At 37.7% G+C, this 21,510-nt stretch overlaps 1 annotated feature.

The window, feature by feature from the left end:
• Window positions 1-21,510: part of a centromere (Linear centromere model derived predominantly from reads generated in PMID: 17803354. This region does not represent an actual centromere sequence, as long-range ordering of repeats and unmapped WGS contigs is not provided by the model. For details of model production, see http://arxiv.org/abs/1307.0035.) that runs on past both edges of the window.

A 21,510-nucleotide genomic window follows, 5' to 3' on the forward strand; every position in this document is an offset into this window, starting at 1 on the left:
GATATTTAGCGCCGTTTGAGGCCTACGGTAGAAAAGGCAATATCTTCGTAGGAGGACTAGACAGAATGATTCTCAGAAGCTACTTTGTGATGTGTGGGTTCAACTCAATGAGTTTAACCTTTCTTTTGATAGACCAGTTATGAAACACTCTTTCTGTGGAATCTGCAAGTAAATTTTTGGACTTTTTTGAGGCCTTCATTGGAAACGGGGTTTCTTCATATAAACCTTGACAGAAGAATTCTCAGAAACTTCTCTGTGATGTGTGCGTTTAACTCTCAGAGTTCAACCTTCCTTTTGATAGAAGAGTGTTGAAATATTCTTTTTGCAGAATTTCCAAGTGAATATTTAGAGCGGTCTCAGGCCTATGTAGAAGAGAAACTATCTTCACGGAAAAACTAGACATAATTGTTCTCTGAAGCTGCTCTGTGATGTGCGCATTCAGCTGACAGAGTTTAACCTTTCTTTGGATAGAGCGGTTTTGAACCCTCTTTTTGTGGAATTTGCAATTCTATATTTAGAGTGCTTTCAGGCCTGTGGTACAAAAGGGAATGTCTTCACATAAAATCTAGACAGAAGCATTGTCGGAAACTACTTTGTGATACCTGCCTTCAACTCTCAGAGTTGAATGTTCCTCTTGATGGAGCAGTTTTGAAAAACTCTTTTTGTTGAATCTCCAAGTGGATATTTGGACCTCTTTGTGGCCTTCGTTTGAGACGTGACTGCTTCATACAAAAGTAGACAGAAGAATTCTCATAAACTTCTTCGTGATGTGTGCTTTCAACTCGCAGAGTTGAAGCTTCCTTTCGATAGAGCAGTCTTGTAACTCTCTTTTTGTAGAATTTCCAAGTGGATATTTAGCGCCGTTTGAGGCCTATGGTGGAGAAGGCGATATCTTCATAGAAAAACTAGACAGAATGATTCTCAGAAACTACTTTGTGATGTGTGCCTTCAACTCACAGAGTTTAACCTTTCTTTTGATAGAGCAGTTTTGAAAAACTCTTTTTGTAGAATCTGTAAGTGTATATTGGGACTTTTCTGAGGCCATCTTTGGAAACGGGATTTCTTCAGATAAAACTTGAAAGAAGAATCCTCAGAAAATTATTTGTGATATGTGCATTTAACTCATGGAGTTGAAACTTCCTTTCGATAGAAGAGTTTTGAAATACTCTTTTTGTAGAATTCCCAAGTGGATTTTTACAGCGGTTTGAGGTCTATGGCAGCAAAAGAAATATCTTCACAGAAAAACTAGGCAGATTCATTCTCCGAAGCTGTTTTGTGATGCTTGCATTAAGCTGACAGAGTTTAAACTTCCTTTGATAGAGCAGTTTGGAAACACTCTTTTTGTGGAATTTGCAAGTGTATATTTAGAGCGTTTTGAGGCCTACAGTAGGAAAGGAAATAACTTCACATAAAAACTAGACAGAAGTATTGTCAGAAACTTATTTGTGATATTTGCATTCAAAGCACAGAGTTGAACATTCCTCTTGATGGAGCCGTTTTGAAACACTCTTTTTGTAGAATCTGCAAGTGGATATTTGGACCTCTTTGTGGCCTTCGTTTGAAACGTGATTTCTTCATTTACAACTAGACAGAAGAATTCTCAGAAACTTCTTTGTGATGTGTACCTTCAACTCACAGAGGTGAAGCTTCCTTTCAATAGAGCACTTTTGAAGCTCAGTTTTGGTAGAATTTCCAGGTGGATATTTAGCGCCGTTTGAGGCCTATGGTAGAAAAGGCAATATCTTCGTAGGAGAACTAGACACAATGATTCTCAGAAGCTACTTTGTGATGTGTGGGTTCAACTCACTGAGTTTAACCTTTCTTTTGATAGACCAGTTATGAAACACTCTTTTTGTGGAATCTGCAAGCAAATTTTTGGACTTTTTTGAGGCCTTCATTGGAAACTGGGTTTCTTCATATAAACCTTGACAGAAGAATTCTCAGAAACTTCTCTGTGATGTGTGCGTTTAACTCTCAGAGTTCAACCTTCCTTTTGATAGAAGAGTGTTGAAATATTCTTTTTGCAGAATTTCCAAGTGAATATTTAGAGCGGTCTCAGGCCTATGTGGAAGAGAAACTATCTTCACGGAAAAACTAGACATAATTGTTCTCTGAAGCTGCTCTGTGATGTGCGCATTCAGCTGACAGAGTTTAACCTTTCTTTGGATAGAGCGGTTTTAAACACTCTTTTTTTTGGAATTTGCAATTCTATACTTAGAGTGCTTTCAGGCCTGTGGTACAAAAGGGAATGTCTTCACATAAAATCTAGACAGAAGCATGTCGGGAACTACTTTGGGATACCTGCCTTCAACTCTCAGAGTTGAATATTCCTCTTGATGGAGCAGTTTTGAAAAACTCTTTTTGTTGAATCTCCAAGTGGATATTTGGACCTCTTTGTGGCCTTCGTTTGAAACGTGACTGCTTCATACAAAAGTAGACAGAAGAATTCTCATCAACTTCTTCGCGATGTGTGCTTTCAACTCGCAGAGTTGCAGCTTCCTTTCGATAGAGCAGTTTTGTAACTCTCTTTTTGTAGAATTTCCAAGTGGATATTTAGCGCCGTTTGAGGCCTATGGTGGAAAAGGCAATATCTTCATAGAAAAACTAGACAGAATGATTCTCAGAAACTACTGTGTGATGTGTGCCTTCAACTCACAGAGTTTAACCTTTCTTTTGATAGAGCAGTTTTGAAAAACTCTTTTTGTAGAATCTGCAAGTGTATATTGGGACTTTTCTGAGGCCATCTTTGGAAACGGGATTTCTTCATATAAAATTTGAAAGAAGAATCCTCAGAAAATTATTTGTGATATGTGCATTTATCTCATGGAGTTGAGACTTCCTTTCGATAGAAGAGTTTTGAAATACTCTTTTTGTAGAATTTCCAAGTGGATTTTTACAGCGGTTTGAGGTCTATGGCGGAAAAAGAAATATCTTCACAGAAAAAGTAGGCAGATTCATTCTCCGAAGCTGCTTTGTGATGCTTGCATTCAGCTGACAGAGTTTAAACTTTCCTTTGATAGAGCAGTTTTGAAACACTCTTTTTGTGGAATTTGCAAGTGTATATTTAGAGCGTTTTGAGGCCTACAGTAGGAAAGGAAATACCTTCACCTAAAAACTAGACAGAAGTATTGTCAGAAAGTTATTTGTGATATTTGCATTCAACGCACAGAGTTGAACATTCCTCTTGATGGAGCAGTTTTCAAACCCTCTTTTTGCAGAATCTGCAGCTGGATATTTGGACCTCTTTGTGGCCTTCGTTTGAAACGTGATTTCTGCATTTACAACTAGACAGAAGAATTCTCAGAAACTTCTTTGTGATGTGTACTTTCAACTCACAGAGTTGAAGCTTCCTTTCAATAGAGCACTTTTGAAACTCAGTTTTTGTAGAATTTCCAGGTGGATATTTAGCACCGTTTGAGGCCTATGGTAGAAAAGGCAATATCTTCGTAGGAAAACTAGACAGAATGATTCTCAGAAACTACTTTGTGATGTGTGGGTTCAACTCACTGAGTTTAACCTTTCTTTTGATAGACCAGTTATGAAACACTCTTTTTGTAGAATCTGCAAGTAAATATTTGGACTTTTTTGAGGCCTTCATTGGAAACGGGATTTCTTCATAGAAACCTTGACAGAAGAATCCCCAGAAACTTCTTTGTGATGTGTGCATTGAACTCTCAGAGTTCAACCTTCCTTTTGATAGAAGAGTGTTGAAATAGTCTTTTTGTAGAATTTCCAAGTGAATATTTAGAGCGGTTTCAGGCCTATGTAGAAGAGAAAATATCTTCACAGAGAAACTAGACATAATTGTTCTCTGAAGCTACTCTGTGATGTGCGCATTCAGCTTACAGAGTTTCACCTTTCTTTGGATAGAGCCGTTTTAAACACTCTTTTTGTGGAATTTGCAATTCTATATTTAGAGTGCTTTCAGGCCTGTGGTACAAAAGGGAATGTCTTCACATAAAATCTGGACAGAAGCATTGTCGGTAACTACTTTGTGATACATGGCTTCAACTCTCAGAGTTGAATATTCCTCTTGAAGGAGCAGTTTTGAAAAACACTTTTTGTTGAATCTCCAAGTGGATATTTGGTCCTCTTTGTGGCCTTCGTTTGAAACGTGACTGCTTCATACAAAAGTAGACAGAAGAATTCTCATAAACTTCTTGGTGATGTGTGCTTTCAACTCGCAGCGTTGAAGCTTCCTTTCGATAGAGCAGTTTAGTAACTCTCTTTTTGTAGAATTTCCAAGTGGATATTTAGCGCCGTTTGAGGCCTATGGTGGAAAAGGCAATATCTTCATAGAAAAACTAGACAGAATGATTCTCAGAAACTACTTTGTGATGTGTGCCTTCAACTCACAGAGTTTAACCTTCCTCTTGGTAGAGCAGTTTTGAAAAACTCTTTTTGTAGAATCTGCAAGTGTATATTGGGACTTTTCTGAGGCCATCTTTGGAAACGGGATTTCTTCATATAAAACTTGAAAGAAGAATCCTCAGAAAATTATTTGTGATATGTGCATTTAACTCATGGAGTTGAGACTTCCTTTCGATAGAAGAGTTTTGAAATACTCTTTTTGTAGAATTTCCAAGTGGATTTTTACAGCGGTTTGATTTCTATGGCAGAAAAAGAAATATCTTCACAGAAAAACTAGGCAGATTCATTCTCCGAAGCTGTTTTGTGATGCTTGCATTAAGCGGACAGGGTTTAAACTTCCTTTGATAGAGCAGTTTGGAAACACTCTTTTTGTGGAATTTGCAAGTGTATATTTAGAGCGTTTTGAGGCCTACAGTAGGAAAGGAAAAATCTTCACATAAAAACTACACAGAAGTATTGTCAGAAACTTATTTGTGATATTTGCATTCAACGCACGGAGTTGAACATTCCTCTTGATGGAGCCGTTTTGAAGCACTCTTTTTGTGGAATCTGCAAGTGGATATTTGGACCTCTTTGTTGCCTTCGTGTGAAACGTGATTTCTTCATTTACAACTAGACAGAAGACTTCTCAGAAACTTCTTTGTGATGTGTACCTTCAACTCACAGAGGTGAAGCTTCCTTTCAATAGAGCACTTTTGAAGCTCAGTTTTGGTAGAATTTCCAGGTGGATATTTAGCGCCGTTTGAGGCCTATGGTAGAAAAGGCAATATCTTCGTAGGAGAACTAGACAGAATGATTCTCAGAAGCTACTTTGTGATGTGTGGGTTCAACTCACTGAGTTTAACCTTTCTTTTGATAGACCAGTTATGAAACACTCTTTCTGTGGAATCTGCAAGTAAATTTTTGGACTTTTTTGAGGCCTTCATTGGAAACGGGGTTTCTTCATATAAACCTTGACAGAAGAATTCTCAGAAACTTCTCTGTGATGTGTGCGTTTAACTCTCAGAGTTCAACCTTCCTTTTGATAGAAGAGTGTTGAAATATTCTTTTTGCAGAATTTCCAAGTGAATATTTAGAGCGGTCTCAGGCCTATGTGGAAGAGAAACTATCTTCACGGAAAAACTAGACATAATTGTTCTCTGAAGCTACTTTGTGATGTGCGCATTCATCTTACAGAGTTTAACCTTTCTTTGGATCGAGCGGTTTTAAACACTCTTTTTGTGGAATTTGCAATTCTATATTTAGAGTGCTTTCAGGCCTGTGGTACAAAAGGGAATGTCCTCACATAAAATCTAGACAGAAGCATTGTCGGGAACTACTTTGTGATACCTGCCTTCAACTCTCAGAGTTGAATATTCCTCTTGATGGAGCAGTTTTGTAAAACTCTTTTTGATGAATCTCCAAGTGGATATTTGGACCTCTTCGTGGCCTTCGTTTGAAACGTGACTGCTTCATACAAAAGTAGACAGAAGAATTCTCATAAAGTTCTTCGTGATGTGTGCTTTCAACTCGCAGAGTTGAAGCTTCCTTTCGATAGAGCAGTCTTGTAACTCTCTTTTTGTAGAATTTCCAAGTGGATATTTAGCGCCGCTTGAGGCCTATGGTGGAGAAGGCGATATCTTCATAGAAAAACTAGACAGAATGATTCTCAGAAACTACTCAGTGATGTGTGCCTTCAACTCACAGAGTTTAACCTTCCTTTTGATAGAGCAGTTTTAAAAAACTCTTTTTGTAGAATCTGCAAGTGTATATTGGGACTTTTCTGAGGCCAACTTTGGAAACGGGATTTCTTCATATAAAACTTGAAAGAAGAATCCTCAGAAAATTATTTGTGATATGTGCATTTAACTCATGGAGTTGAAACTTCCTTTCGATAGAAGAGTTTTGAAATACTCTTTTTGTAGAATTCCCAAGTGGATTTTTACAGCGGTTTGAGGTCTATGGCAGCAAAAGAAATATCTTCACAGAAAAACTAGGCAGATTCATTCTCCGAAGCTGTTTTGTGATGCTTGCATTCAGCTGACAGAGTTTAAACTTCCTTTGATAGAGCAGTTTTGAAACACTCTTTTTGCGGTATTTGCAAGTGTATATTTAGAGCGTTTTGAGGCCTACAGTAGGAAAGGAAATATCTTCACCTAAAAACTAGACAGAAGTATTGTCAGAAACTTATTTGTGATATTTGCATTCACCGCACAGAGTTGAACATTCCTCTTGATGGAGCCGTTTTGAGACACTCTTTTTGTAGAATCTGCAAGTGGATATTTGGACCTCTTTGTGGCCTTCGTGTGAAACGTGATTTCTTCATTGACAACTAGACAGAAGAATTCTCAGAAACTTCTTTGTGATGTGTACCTTCAACTCACAGAGTTGAAGCTTCCTTTCAAAAGAGCACTTTTGAAACTCAGTTTTTGTAGAATTTCCAGGTGGATATTTAGCGCCGTTTGAGGCCTATGGTAGAAAAGGCAATATCTTCGTAGGAAAACTAGACAGAATGATTCTCAGAAACTACTTTGTGATGTGTGGGTTCAACTCACTGAGTTTAACCTTTCTTTTGATAGACCAGTTATGAAACACTCTTTTTGTACAATCTGCATGTAAATATTTGGACTTTTTTGAGGCCTTCATTGGAAACGGGATTTCTTCATATAAACCTGGACAGAAGAATTCTCAGAAACTTCTCTGTGATGTGTGCGCTTAACTCTCAGAGTTCAACCTTCCTTTTGATAGAAGAGTGTTGAAATATTCTTTTTGTAGAATTTCCAAGTGAATATTTAGAGCGGTTTCAGGCCTATGTAGAAGAGAATCTATCTTCACAGAAAAACTAGACATAATTTTTCTCTGAAGCTACTTTGTGATGTGCGCCTTCAGCTGACAGAGTTGAACCTTTCTTTGGATAGAGCGGTTTTAAACACTCTTTTTGTGGAATTTGCAATTCTATATTTAGAGTGCTTTCAGGCCTGTGGTACAAAAGGGAATGTCTTCACATAAAATCTAGTCAGAAGCGTTGTCGGAAACTACTTTGTGATACCTGCCTTCAACTCTCAGAGTTGAATATTCCTCTTGACGGAGCAGTTTTGAAAAACGCTTTTTGTGGAATCTCCAAGTGGATATTTGGACCTCTTTGTTGCCTTCGTTTGAGACGTGACTTCTTCCTACAAAACTAGACAGAAGAATTCTCATAAACTTCTTCGTGATGTGTGCTTTCAACTCGCAGAGTTGAAGCTTCCTTTCGATAGAGCAGTCTTGTAACTCTCTTTTTGTAGAATTTCCAAGTGGATATTTAGTGCCGCTTGAGGCCTATGGTGGAGAAGGCGATATCTTCATAGAAAAACTAGACAGAATGATTCTCAGAAACTACTTTGTGATGTGTGCCTTCAACTCACAGAGTTTAACCTTTCTTTTGATAGAGCAGTTTTGAAAAACTCTTTTTGTAGAATCTGCAAGTGTATATTGGGACTTTTCTGAGGCCATCTTTGGAAACGGGATTTCTTCAGATAAAACTTGAAAGAAGAATCCTCAGAAAATAATTTGTGATATGTGCATTTAACTCATGGAGTTGAAACTTCCTTTCGATAGAAGAGTTTTGAAATACTCTTTTTGTAGAATTCCCAAGTAGATTTTTACAGCGGTTTGAGGTCTATGGCAGCAAAAGAAATATCTTCACAGAAAAACTAGGCAGATTCATTCTCTGAAGCTGTTTTGTGATGCTTGCATTAACCTGACAGAGTTTAAACTTCCTTTGATAGAGCAGTTTGGAAACACTCTTTTTGTGGAATTTGCAAGTGTATATTTAGAGCCTTTTGAGGCCTACAGTAGGAAAGTAAATATCTTCACATAAAAACTAGACAGAAGTATTGTCAGAAACTTATTTGTGATATTTGCCTTCAACGCACAGAGTTGAACATTCCTCTTGATGGAGCAGTTTTGAAACCCTCTTTTTGCAGAATCTGCAGGTGGATATTTGGACCTCTTTGTGGCCTTCGTTTGAAACGTGATTTCTTCATTTACAACTTGACAGAAGAATTCTCAGAAACTTCTTTGTGATGTGTACCTTCAACTCACAGAGGTGAAGCTTCCTTTCAATAGAGCACTTTTGAAACTCAGTTTTGGTAGAATTTCCAGGTGGATATTTTGCGCCGTTTGAGGCCTATGGTAGAAAAGGCAATATCTTCGTAGGAGAACTAAACAGAATGATTCTCAGAAGCTACTTTGTGATGTGTGGGTTCAACTCACTGAGTTTCACCTTTCTTTTGATAGACCAGTTATGAAACACTCTTTTTGTGGAATCTGCAAGTAAATATTTGGACTGTTTTCAGGCCTTCATTGGAAACGGGGTTTCTTCATATAAACCTTGACAGAAGAATTCTCAGAAACTTCTCTGTGATGTGTGCGTTTAACTCTCAGAGTTCAACCTTCCTTTTGATGGAAGAGTGTTGAGGTATTCTTTTTGTAGAATTTCCAAGTGAATATTTAGAGCAGTTTCAGGCCTATGTAGAAGAGAAAATATCTTCCCAGAAAGACTAGACATAATTGTACTCTGAAGCTACTTTGTGATGTGCGCATTCAGCTTAGAGAGTTTAACCTTTCTTTGGATAGAGCGGTTTTAAACACTCTTTTTGTGGAATTTGCAGTTCTATATTTAGAGTGCTTTCAGGCCTGTGGTACAAAAGGGAATGTCCTCACATAAAATCTAGACAGAAGCATTGTCGGAAACTACTTTGTGATACCTGCCTTCAACTCTCAGAGTTGAATATTCCTCTTGATGGAGCAGTTTTGAAAAACTCTTTTTGTTGAATCTCCAAGTGGATATTTGGACCTCTTTGTGGCCTTCGTTTGAGACGTGACTGCTTCATACAAAAGTAGACAGAAGAATTCTCATCACCTTCTTCGCGATGTGTGCTTTCAACTCGCGGAGCTGAAGCTTCCTTTCGATAGAGCAGTTTTGTAACTCTCTTTTTGTAGAATTTCCAAGTGGATATTTAGCGCCGTTTGAGGCCTATGGTGGAAAAGGCAATATCTTCATAGAAAAACTAGACAGAATGATTCTCAGAAACTACTTTGTGATGTGTGCCTTCAACTCACAGAGTTTAACCTTTCTTTTGATAGAGCAGTTTTGAAAAACTCTTTTTGTAGAATCTGCAAGTGTATCTTGGGACTTTTCTGAGGCCATCTTTGGAAACGGGATTTCTTCATATAAAATTCGAAAGAAGAATCCTCAGAAAATTATTTGTGATATGTGCATTTAACTCATGGAGTTGAAACTTCCTTTCGATAGAAGAGTTTTGAAATACTCTTTTTGTAGAATTTCCAAGTGGATTTTTACAGCGGTTTGAGGTCTATGGCAGCAAAAGAAATATCTTCACAGAAAAACTAGGCAGATTCATTCTCCGAAGCTGTTTTGTGATGCTTGCATTCAGCTGACAGAGTTTAAACTTCCTTTGATAGAGCAGTTTTGAAACCCTCTTTTTGTGGAATTTGCAAGTGTCTCTTTAGAGCGTTTTGAGGCCTACAGTAGGAAAGGAAATATCTTCACATAAAAACTAGACAGAAGTATTGTCAGAAACTTATTTGTGATATTTGCATTCAACGCACAGAGTTGAACATTCCTCTTGATGGAGCCGTTTTGAAACACTCTTTTTGTAGAATCTGCAAGTGGATATTTGGACCTCTTTGTGGCCTTCGTGTGAAACGTGATTTCTTCATTTACAACTAGACAGAAGAATTCTCAGAAACTTCTTTGTGATGTGTACCTTCAACTCACAGAGTTGAAGCTTCCTTTCCATAGAGCACTTTTGAAACTCAGTTTTTGTAGAATTTCCTGGTGGATATTTAGCGCCGTTTGAGGCCTATGGTAGAAAAGGCAATATCTTCGTAGGAGAGCTAGACAGAATGATTCTCAGAAACTACTTTGTGATGTGTGGGTTCAACTCACTGAGTTTAACCTTTCTTTTGATAGACCAGTTATGAAACACCCTTTTGGTAGAACATGCAAGTAAATATTTGGACTTTTTTGAGGCCTTCATTGGAAACGGGATTTCTTCATAGAAACCTTGACAGAAGAATTCTCAGAAACTTCTCTGTGATGTGTGCGTTTAACTCTCAGAGTTCAACCTTCCTTTTGATAGAAGAGTGTTGAAATATTCTTTTTGCAGAATTTCCAAGTGAATATTTAGAGCCGTCTCAGGCCTATGTGGAAGAGAAACTATCTTCACGGAAAAACTAGACATAATTGTTCTCTGAAGCTACTCTGTGATGTGCGCATTCAGCTGACAGAGTTTAACCTTTCTTTGCATAGAGCGGTTTTAAACCCTCTTTTTGTGGAATTTGCAATTCTGTATTTAGAGTGCTTTCAGGCCTGTGGTACAAAAGGGAATGTCTTCACCTAAAATCTAGACAGAAGCATTGCCGGGAACTACTTTGTGATACCTGCCTTCAACTCTCAGAGTTGAATATTCCTCTTGATGGAGCAGTTTTGAAAAACTCTTTTTGTTCAATCTCCAAGTGGATATTTGGACCTCGTTGTGGCCTTCGTTTGAAACGTGACTGCTTCATACAAAAGTAGACAGAAGAATTCTCATAAACTTCTTCGTGATGTGTGCTTTCAACTCGCAGCCTTGAAGCTTCCTTTCGATAGAGCAGTTTAGTAACTCTCTTTTTGTAGAATTTCCAAGTGGATATTTAGCGCCGTTTGAGGCCTATGGTGGAAAAGGCAATATCTTCATAGAAAAACTAGACAGAATGATTCTCAGAAACTACTTTGTGATGTGTGCCTTCAACTCACAGAGTTTAACCTTCCTTTTGGTAGAGCAGTTTTGAAAAACTCTTTTTGTAGAATCTGCAAGTGTATAATGGGACTTTTCTGAGGCCATCTTTGGAAACGGGATTTCTTCATATAAAACTTGAAAGAAGAATCCTCAGAAAATTATTTGTGATATGTGCATTTAACACATGGAGTTGAGACTTCCTTTCGATAGAAGAGTTTTGAAATACTCTTTTTGTAGAATTTCCAAGTGGATTTTTACAGCGGTTTGAGGTCTATGGCAGAAAAAGAAATATCTTCACAGAAAAACTAGGCAGATTCATTCTCCGAAGCTGTTTTGTGATGCTTGCATTAAGCGGACAGAGTTTAAACTTCCTTTGATAGAGCAGTTCGGAAACACTCTTTTTGTGGAATTTGCAAGTGTATATTTAGAGCGTTTTGAGGCCTACAGTAGGAAAGGAAATATCTTCACATAAAAACTACACAGAAGTATTGTCAGAAAGTTATTTGTGATATTTGCATTCAACGCACAGCAGTTGAACATTCCTCTTGATGGAGCAGTTTTCAAACCCTCTTTTTGCAGAGTCTGCAGGTGGATATTTGGACCTCTTTGTGGCCTTCGTTTGAAACGTGATTTCTGCATTTACAACTAGACAGAAGAATTCTCAGAAACTTCTTTGTGATGTGTACCTTCAACTCACAGAGTTGAAGCTTCCTTTCAATAGAGCACTTTTGAAACTCAGTTTTTGTAGAATTTCCAGGTGGATATTTAGCGCCGTTTGAGGCCTATGGTAGAAAAGGCAATATCTTCGTAGGAAAACTAGACAGAATGATTCTCAGAAACTACTTTGTGATGTGTGGGTTCAACTCACTGAGTTTAACCTTTCTTTTGATAGACCAGTTATGAAACACTCTTTTTGTAGAATCTGCAAGTAAATATTTGGACTTTTTTGAGGCCTTCATTGGAAACGGGATTTCTTCATAGAAACCTTGACAGAAGAATTCCCAGAAACTTCTTTGTGATGTGTGCATTTAACTCTCAGAGTTCAACCTTCCTTTTGATAGAAGAGTGTTGAAATATTCTTTTTGTAGAATTTCCAAGTGAATATTTAGAGCGGTTTCAGGCCTATGTAGAAGAGAAAATATCTTCACAGAGAAACTAGACATAATTGTTCTCTGAAGCTACTTTGTGATGTGCGCATTCAGCTTACAGAGTTTAACCTTTCTTTGGATCGAGCGGTTTTAAACACTCTTTTTGTGGAATTTGCAATTCTATATTTAGAGTGCTTTCAGGCCTGTGGTACTAAAGGGAATGTCTTCACATAAAATCTACACAGAAGCATTGTCGGGAACTATTTTGTGATACCTGCCTTCAACTCTCAGAGTTGAATATTCCTCTTGATGGAGCAGTTTTGTAAAACTCTTTTTGTTGAATCTCCAAGTGGATATTTGGACCTCTTCGTGGCCTTCGTTTGAAACGTGACTGCTTCATACAAAAGTAGACAGAAGAATTCTCATAAACTACTTCGTGATGTGTGCTTTCAACTCGCAGCGTTGAAGCTTCCTTTCGATAGAGCAGTTTAGTAACTCTCTTTTTGTAGAATTTCCAAGTGGATATTCAGCGCCGTTTGAGGCCTATGGTGGAAAAGGCAATATCTTCATAGAAAAACTAGACAGAATGATTCTCAGAAACTTCTTTGTGATGTGTGCCTTCAACTCACAGAGTTTAACCTTTGTTTTGATAGAGCAGTTTTGAAAAACTCTTTTTGTAGAATCTGCAAGTGTATATTGGGACTTTTCTGAGGCCATCTTTGGAAACGGGATTTCTTCCTATAAAACTTGAAGGAAGAATCCTCAGAAAATTATTTGTGATATGTGCATTTAACTCATGGATTTGAAACTTCTTTTCGATAGAAAGGATTTGAAATACTCTTTTTGTAGAATTTCCAAGTGGATTTTTACAGCGGTGTGAGGTCTATGGCAGCAAAAGAAATATCTTCACAGAAAAACTGGGCAGATTCATTCTCTGAAGCTGTTTTGTGATGCTTGCATTAAGCTGACAGAGTTTAAACTTCCTTTGATAGAGCAGTTTGGAAACACTCTTTTTGTGGAATTTGCAAGTGTATATTTAGAGCCTTTTGAGGCCTACAGTAGGAAAGTAAATATCTTCACATAAAAACTAGACAGAAGTATTGTCAGAAACTTATTTGTGATATTTGCATTCAACGCACAGAGTTGAACATTCCTCTTGATGGAGCAGATTTCAAACCCTCTTTTTGCAGAATCTGCAGCTGGATATTTGGACCTCTTTGTGGCCTTCGTTTGAAACGTGATTTCTGCATTTACAAATAGACAGAAGAATTCTCAGAAACTTCTTTGTGATGTGTACCTTCAACTCACAGAGTTGAAGCTTCCTTTCAAAAGAGCACTTTTGAAACTCAGTTTTTGTAGAATTTCCAGGTGGATATTTAGCGCCGTTTGAGGCCTATGGTAGAAAAGGCAATATCTTCATAGGAAAACTAGACAGAATGATTCTCAGAAGCTACTTTGTGATGTGTGGGTTCAACTCACTGAGTTTAACCTTTCTTTTGATAGACCAGTTATGAAACACTCTTTTTGTGGAATCTGCAAGTAAATATTTGGACTTTTTTGAGGCCTTCATTGGAAACGGGGTTTCTTCATATAAACCTTGACAGAAGAATTCCCAGAAACTTCTCTGTGGTGTGTGCATTTAACTCTCAGAGTTCAACCTTCCTTTTGATAGAAGAGTGTTGAAGTATTCTTTCTGTAGAATTTCCAAGTGAATATTTAGAGCGGTTTCAGACCTATGTAGAAGAGAAACTATCTTCACAGAAAAACTAGACATAATTGTTCTCTGCAGCTACTTTGTGATGTGCGCATTCAGCTTACAGAGTTTAACCTTTCTTTGGATAGAGCGGTTTTAAACACTCTTTTTGTGGAATTTGCAGTTCTATATTTAGAGTGCTTTCAGGCCTGTGGTACAAAAGGGAATGTCCTCACATAAAATCTAGACAGAAGCATTGTCGGAAACTACTTTGTGATACCTGCCCTCAACTCTCAGAGTTGAATATTCCTCTTGATGGAGCAGTTTTGAAAAACTCTTTTTGTTGAATCTCCAAGTGGATATTTGGACCTCTTTGTGGCCTTCGTTTGAGACGTGACTGCTTTATACAAAAGTAGACAGAAGAATTCTCATAAACTTCTTCGTGATGTGTGCTTTCAACTCGCGGAGCTGAAGCTTCCTTTCGATAGAGCAGTTTTGTAACTCTCTTTTTGTAGAATTTCCAAGTGGATATTTAGCGCCGTTTGAGGCCTATGGTGGAAAAGGCAATATCTTCATAGAAAAAATAGACAGAATGATTCTCAGAAACTACTCTGTGATGTGTGCCTTCAACTCACAGAGTTTAACCTTCCTTTTGATAGAGCAGTTTTGAAAAACTCTTTTTGTAGAATCTGCAAGTGTATATTGGGACTTTTCTGAGGCCATCTTTGGAAACGGGATTTCTTCATATAAAACTTGAAAGAAGAATCCTCAGAAAATTATTTGTGATATGTGCATTTAACTCATGGAGTTGAAACTTCCTTTCGATAGAAGAGTTTTGACATCCTCTTTTTGTAGAATTTCCAAGTGGATTTTTACAGCGGTTTGAGGTCTATGGCAGAAAAAGAAATATCTTCACAGAAAAACTAGGCAGATTCATTCTCCGAAGCTGTTTTGTGATGCTTGCATTAAGCTGACAGAGTTTAAACTTCCTTTGATAGAGCAGTTTGGAAACACTCTTTTTGTGGAATTTGCAAGTGTATATTTAGAGCATTTTGAGGCCTACAGTAGGAAAGGAAATAACTTCACATAAAAACTAGACAGAAGTATTTTCAGAAACTTATTTGTGATATTTGCATTCAACGCACAGAGTTGAACATTCCTCTTGATGGAGCTGTTTTGAAACACTCTTTTTGTAGAATCTGCAAGTGGATATTTGGACCTCTTTGTGGCCGTCGTGTGAAACGTGATTTCTTCATTTACAACTAGACAGAAGAATTCTCAGAAACTTCTTTGTGATGTGTACCTTCAACTCACAGAGGTGAAGCTTCCTTTCAATAGAGCACTTTTGAAGCTCAGTTTTGGTAGAATTTCCAGGTGGATATTTAGCGCCGTTTGAGGCCTATGGTAGAAAAGGCAATATCTTCGTAGGAGAACTAGACAGAATTGTTCTCAGAAGCTACTTTGTGATGTGTGGGTTCAACACACTGAGTTTAACCTTTCTTTTGATAGACCAGTTATGAAACACTCTTTTTGTGGAATCTGCAAGTAAATATTTGGACTTTTTTGAGGCCTTCATTGGAAACGGGGTTTCTTCATATAAACCTTGACAGAAAAATTCCCAGAAACTTCTCTGTGATGTGTGCATTTAACTCTCAGAGTTCAACCTTCCTTTTGATAGAAGAGGGTTGAAATATTCTTTTTGTAGAATTTCCAAGTGAATATTTAGAGCGGTTTCAGGCCTATGTAGAAGAGAAAATATCTTCACAGAAAAACTAGACATAATTTTTCTCTGAAGCTACTTTGTCATGTGCGCATTCAGCTTACAGAGTTTAACCTTTCTTTGGATAGAGCGGTTTTATACACTCTTTTTGTGGAATTTGCAATTCTATATTTAGAGTGCTTTCAGGCCTGTGGTACAAAAGGTAATGTCCTCACATAAAATCTAGACAGAAGCATTGTCGGAAACTACTTTGTGATACCTGCCTTCAACTCTCAGAGTTGAATGTTCCTCTTGATGGAGCAGTTTTGAAAAACTCTTTTTGTTGAATCTCCAAGTAGATATTTGGACCTCTTTGTGGCCTTCGTTTGAGACGTGACTTCTTCATACAAAAGTAGACAGAAGAATTCTCATAAACTTCTTCGTGATGTGTGCTTTCAACTCGCAGAGTTGAAGCTTCCTTTCGATAGAGCAGTTTAGTAACTCTCTTTTTGTAGAATTTCCAAGTGGATATTTAGCGCCATTTGAGGCCTATGGTGGAAAAGGCAATATCTTCATAGAAAAACTAGTCAGAATGATTCTCAGAAACTACTTTGTGATGTGTGCCTTCAACTCACAGAGTTTAACCTTCCTTTTGGTAGAGCAGTTTTGAAAAACTCTTTTTGTAGAATCTGCAAGTGTATATTGGGACTCTTCTGAGGCCATCTTTGGAAACGGGATTTCTTCATATAAAACTTGAAAGAAGAATCCTCAGAAAATTATTTGTGATATGTGCATTTAGCTCATGGAGCTGAAACTTCCTTTCGATAGAAGAGCTTTGAAATACTCTTTTTGTAGAATTTCCAAGTGGATTTTTACAGCGGTTTGAGGTCTATGGCAGAAAAAGAAATATCTTCACAGAAAAACTAGGCAGATTCATTCTCCGAAGCTGTTTTGTGATGCTTGCATTCAGCTTAAAGAGTTTAAACTTCCTTTGATAGAGCAGTTTTGAAACCCTCTTTTTGTGGAATTTGCAAGTGTCTCTTTAGAGCGTTTTGAGGCCTACAGTAGGAAAGGAAATATCTTCACATAAAAACTAGACGGAAGTATTGTCAGAAACTTATTTGTGATATTTGCATTCAACGCACAGAGTTGAACATTCCTCTTGATGGAGCCGTTTTGAAACACTCTTTTTGCAGAATCTGCAGGTGGATATTTGGACCTCTTTGTGGCCTTCGTTTGAAACGTGATTTCTTCATTTACAACTAGACAGAAGAATTCTCAGAAACTTCTTTGTGATGTGTACCTTCAACTCACAGAGGTGAAGCTTCCTTTCAATAGAGCACTTTTGAAACTCAGTTTCGGTAGAATTTCCAGGTGGATATTTAGCGCCGTTTGAGGCCTATGCTAGAAAAGGCAATATCTTCGTAGGAGAACTAGACAGAATGATTCTCAGAAGCTACCTTGTGATGTGTGGGTTCAACTCACTGAGTTTAACCTTTCTTTTGATAGACCCGTTATGAAACACTGTTTTTGTAGAATCTGCAAGTAAATATTTGGACTTTATTGGAGGCCTTCATTGGAAACGGGGTTTCTTCATATAAACCTTGACAGAAGAATTCTCAGAAACTTCTCTGTGATGTGTGCGTTTAACTCTCAGAGTTCAACCTTCCTTTTGATAGAAGAGTGTTGAAATATTCTTTTTGTAGAATTTCCAAGTGAATATTTTGAGCGGTTTCAGGCCTATGTAGAAGAGAAAATATCTTCACAGAAAAACTAGACACAATTGTTCTCTGAAGCTACTTTGTGATGTGCGCATTCAGCTTACAGAGTTTAACCTTTCTTTGGATAGAGCGGTTTTAAACACTCTTTTTGTGGAATTTGCAATTCTATATTTAGAGTGCTTTCAGGCCTGTGGTACAAAAGGGAATGTCCTCACATAAAATCTAGACAGAAGCATTGTCGGAAACTACTTTGTGATACCTGCCTTCAACTCTCAGAGTTGAATATTCCTCTTGATGGAGCAGTTTTTAAAAACTCTTTTTGTTGAATCTCCAAGTGGATATTTGGACCTCTTTGTGGCCTTCGTTTGAGACGTGACTTCTTCATACAAAACTAGACAGAAGAATTCTCATAAACTTCTTTGGGATGTGTGCCTGCAACTCGCAGAGTTGAAGATTCCTTTCGATAGAGCAGTCTTGTAACTCTCTTTTTGTAGAATTTCCAAGTGGATATTTAGCGCCGTTTGAGGCCTATGGTGGAAAAGGCAATATCTTCATAGAAAAACTAGACAGAATGATTCTCAGAAACTACTTTGTGATGTGTGCCTTCAACTCACAGAGTTTAAACTTTCTTTTGATAGAGCAGTTTTGAAAAACTCTTTTTGTAGAATCTGCAAGTGTATATTGGGACTTTTCTGAGGCCATCTTTGGAAACGGGATTTCTTCATATAAAACTTGAAGGAAGAATCCTCAGCAAAATTATTTGTGATATGTGCATTTAACTCATGGAGCTGAAACTTCCTTTCGATAGAAGAGCTTTGAAATACCCTTTTTGTAGAATTTCCAAGTGGATTTTTACAGCGGTTTGAGGTCTATGGCAGAAAAAGAAATATCTTCACAGAAAAACTAGGCAGATTCATTCTCCGAAGCTGTTTTGTGATGCTTGCATTAAGCGGACAGAGTTTAAACTTCCTTTGAGAGAGCAGTTTGGAAACACTCTTTTTGTGGAATTTGCAAGTGTATATTTAGAGCGTTTTGAGGCCTACAGTAGGAAAGGAAATATCTTCACATAAAAACTAGACAGAAGTATTGTCAGAAACTTATTTGTGATATTTGCATTCAACGCACGGAGTTGAACATTCCTCTTGATGGAGCCGTTTTGAAGCACTCTTTTTGTGGAATCTGCAAGTGGATATTTGGACCTTTTTGTGTCCTTCGTGGGAAACGTGATTTCTTCATTTACAACTAGACAGAAGAATTCTCAGAAACTTCTTTGTGATGTGTACCTTCAACTCACAGAGGTGAAGCTTCCTTTCAATAGAGCACTTTTGAAGCTCAGTTTTGGTAGAATTTCCAGGTGGATATTTAGCGCCGTTTGAGGCCTATGGTAGAAAAGGCAATATCTTCGTAGGAGAACTAGACACAATGATTCTCAGAAACAACTTTGTGATATGTGCGTTCAACTCACGGAGTTTAACCTTTCTTTTGATAGACCAGTTATGAAACACTCTTTTTGTAGAATCTGCAAGTAAATATTTGGACTTTTTTGAGGCCTTCATTGGAAACGGGATCTCTTCATGTAAACCTTGACAGAAGAATTCCCAGAAACTTCTCTGTGATGTGTGCATTTAACTCTCAGAGTTCAACCTTCCTTTTGATAGAAGAGGGTTGAAATATTCTTTTTGTAGAATTTCCAAGTGAATATTTAGAGCGGTTTCAGGCCTAAGTAGAAGAGAAAATATCTTCACAGAAAAACTAGACATAATTGTTCTCTGAAGCTACTCTGTGATGTGCGCATTCAGCTGACAGAGTTTCACCTTTCTTTGGATAGAGCGGTTTTCAACACTCTTTTTGTGGAATTTGCAATTCTATATTTAGAGTGCTTTCAGGCCTGTGGTACAAAAGGGAATGTCTTCACATAAAATCTAGACAGAAGCATTGTCGGGAACTACTTTGGGATACCTGCCTTCAACTCTCAGAGTTGAATATTCCTCTTGATGGAGCAGTTTTGAAAAACTCTTTTTGTTGAATCTCCAAGTGGATATTTGGACCTCTTTGTGGCCTTCGTTTGAAACGTGACTGCTTCATACAAAAGTAGACAGAAGAATTCTCATAAACTTCTTCGTGATGTGTGCTTTCAACTCGCAGCGTTGAAGCTGCCTTTCGATAGAGCAGTTTAGTAACTCTCTTTTTGTAGAATTTCCAAGTGGATATTTAGCGCCGTTTGAGGCCTATGGTGGAAAAGGCAATATCTTCATAGAAAAACTAGACAGAATGATTCTCAGAAACTACTTTGTGATGTGTGCCTTCAACTCACAGAGTTTAACTTTCTTTTGATAGAGCAGTTTTGAAAAACTCTTTTTGTAGAATCTGCAAGTGTATATTGGGACTTTTCTGAGGCCATTTTTGGAAACGGGATTTCTTCATATAAAACTTGAAAGAAGAATCCTCAGAAAATTATTTGTGATATGTGCATTTAACTCATGGAGTTGAAACTTCCTTTCGATAGAAGAGTTTTGAAATACTCTTTTTGTAGAATTCCCAAGTGGATTTTTACAGCGTTTTGAGGTCTATGGCAGCAAAAGAAATATCTTCACAGAAAAACTAGGCAGATTCATTCTCCGAAGCTCTTTTGTGATGCTTGCATTAAGCGGACAGAGTTTAAACTTCCTTTGAGAGAGCAGTTTGGAAACACTCTTTATGTGGAATTTGCAAGTGTATATTTAGAGCGTTTTGAGGCCTACAGTAGGAAAGGAAATATCTTCACATAAAAACTACACAGAAGTATTCTCAGAAACTTACTTGTGATATTTGCATTCAACGCACAGAGTTGAACATTCCTCTTGATGGAGCAGTTATGAAACACTCTTTTTGTAGAATCTGCAGGTGGATATTTGGACCTCTTTGTGGCCTTCTTTTGAAACGTGATTTCTTCATTTACAACTAGACAGAAGACTTCTCAGAAACTTCTTTGTGATGTGTACCTTCAACTCACAGAGGTGAAGCTTCCTTTCAATAGAGCACTTTTGAAGCTCAGTTTTGGTAGAATTTCCAGGTGGATATTTAGCGCCGTTTGAGGCCTATGGTAGAAAAGGCAATATCTTCGTAGGAGAACTAGACAGAATGATTCTCAGACACTACTTTGTGATGTGTGGGTTCAACTCACTGAGTTTAACCTTTCTTTTGATAGACCAGTTATGAAACACTCTTTTTGTAGGATCTGCAAGTAAATATTTGGACTTTCTTGAGGTCTTCATTGGAAACGGGATTTCTTCATATAAACCTTGGCAGAAGAATTCTCAGAAACTTCTCTGTGATGTGTGCGTTTAACTCTCAGAGTTCAACCTTCCTTTTGATAGAAGAGTGTTGAAATATTCTTTTTGCAGAATTTCCAAGTGAATATTTAGAGCGGTCTCAGGCCTATGTGGAAGAGAAACTATCTTCACGGAAAAACTAGACATAATTGTTCTCTGAAGCTACTCTGAGATGTGCGCATTCAGCTGACAGAGTTTAACCTTTCGTTGGATAGAGCGGTTTTAAACCCTCTTTTTGTGGAATTTGCTATTCTATCTTTAGAGTGCTTTCAGGCCTGTGGTACAAAAGGGAATGTCTTCACATAAAATCTTGATAGAAGCATTGTCGGAAACTGCTTTGTGATACCTACCTTCAACTCTCAGAGTTGAATATTCCTCTTGATGGAGCAGTTTTGAAAAACTCTTTTTGTTGAATCTCCAAGTGGATATTTGGGCCTCTTTGTGGCCTTCGTTTGAGACGTGACTGCTTCATACAAATGTAGACAGAAGAATTCTCATAAACTTCTTCGGGATGTGTGCTTTCAACTTGCAGCGTTGAAGCTTCCTTTCGATAGAGCAGTTCTGTAACTCTCTTTTTGTAGAATTTCCAAGTGGATATTTAGCGCCGTTTGAGGCCTATGGTGGAAAAGGCAATATCTTCATAGAAAAACTAGACAGAATGATTCTCAGAAACTAATTTGTGATGTGTGCCTTCAACTCACAGAGTTTAACCTTCCTTTTGATAGAGCAGTTTTGAAAAACTCTTTCTGTAGAATCTGCAAGTGTATAGTGGGGCTTTTCTGAGGCCATGTTTGGAAACGGGATTTCTTCATATAAAACTTGAAAGAAGAATCCTCAGAAAATTATTTGTGATATGTGCATTT

Source organism: Homo sapiens, chromosome 3 (genome assembly GCF_000001405.40).
Source record: "Homo sapiens chromosome 3, GRCh38.p14 Primary Assembly".
Classification (NCBI taxonomy): domain Eukaryota; kingdom Metazoa; phylum Chordata; class Mammalia; order Primates; family Hominidae; genus Homo; species Homo sapiens.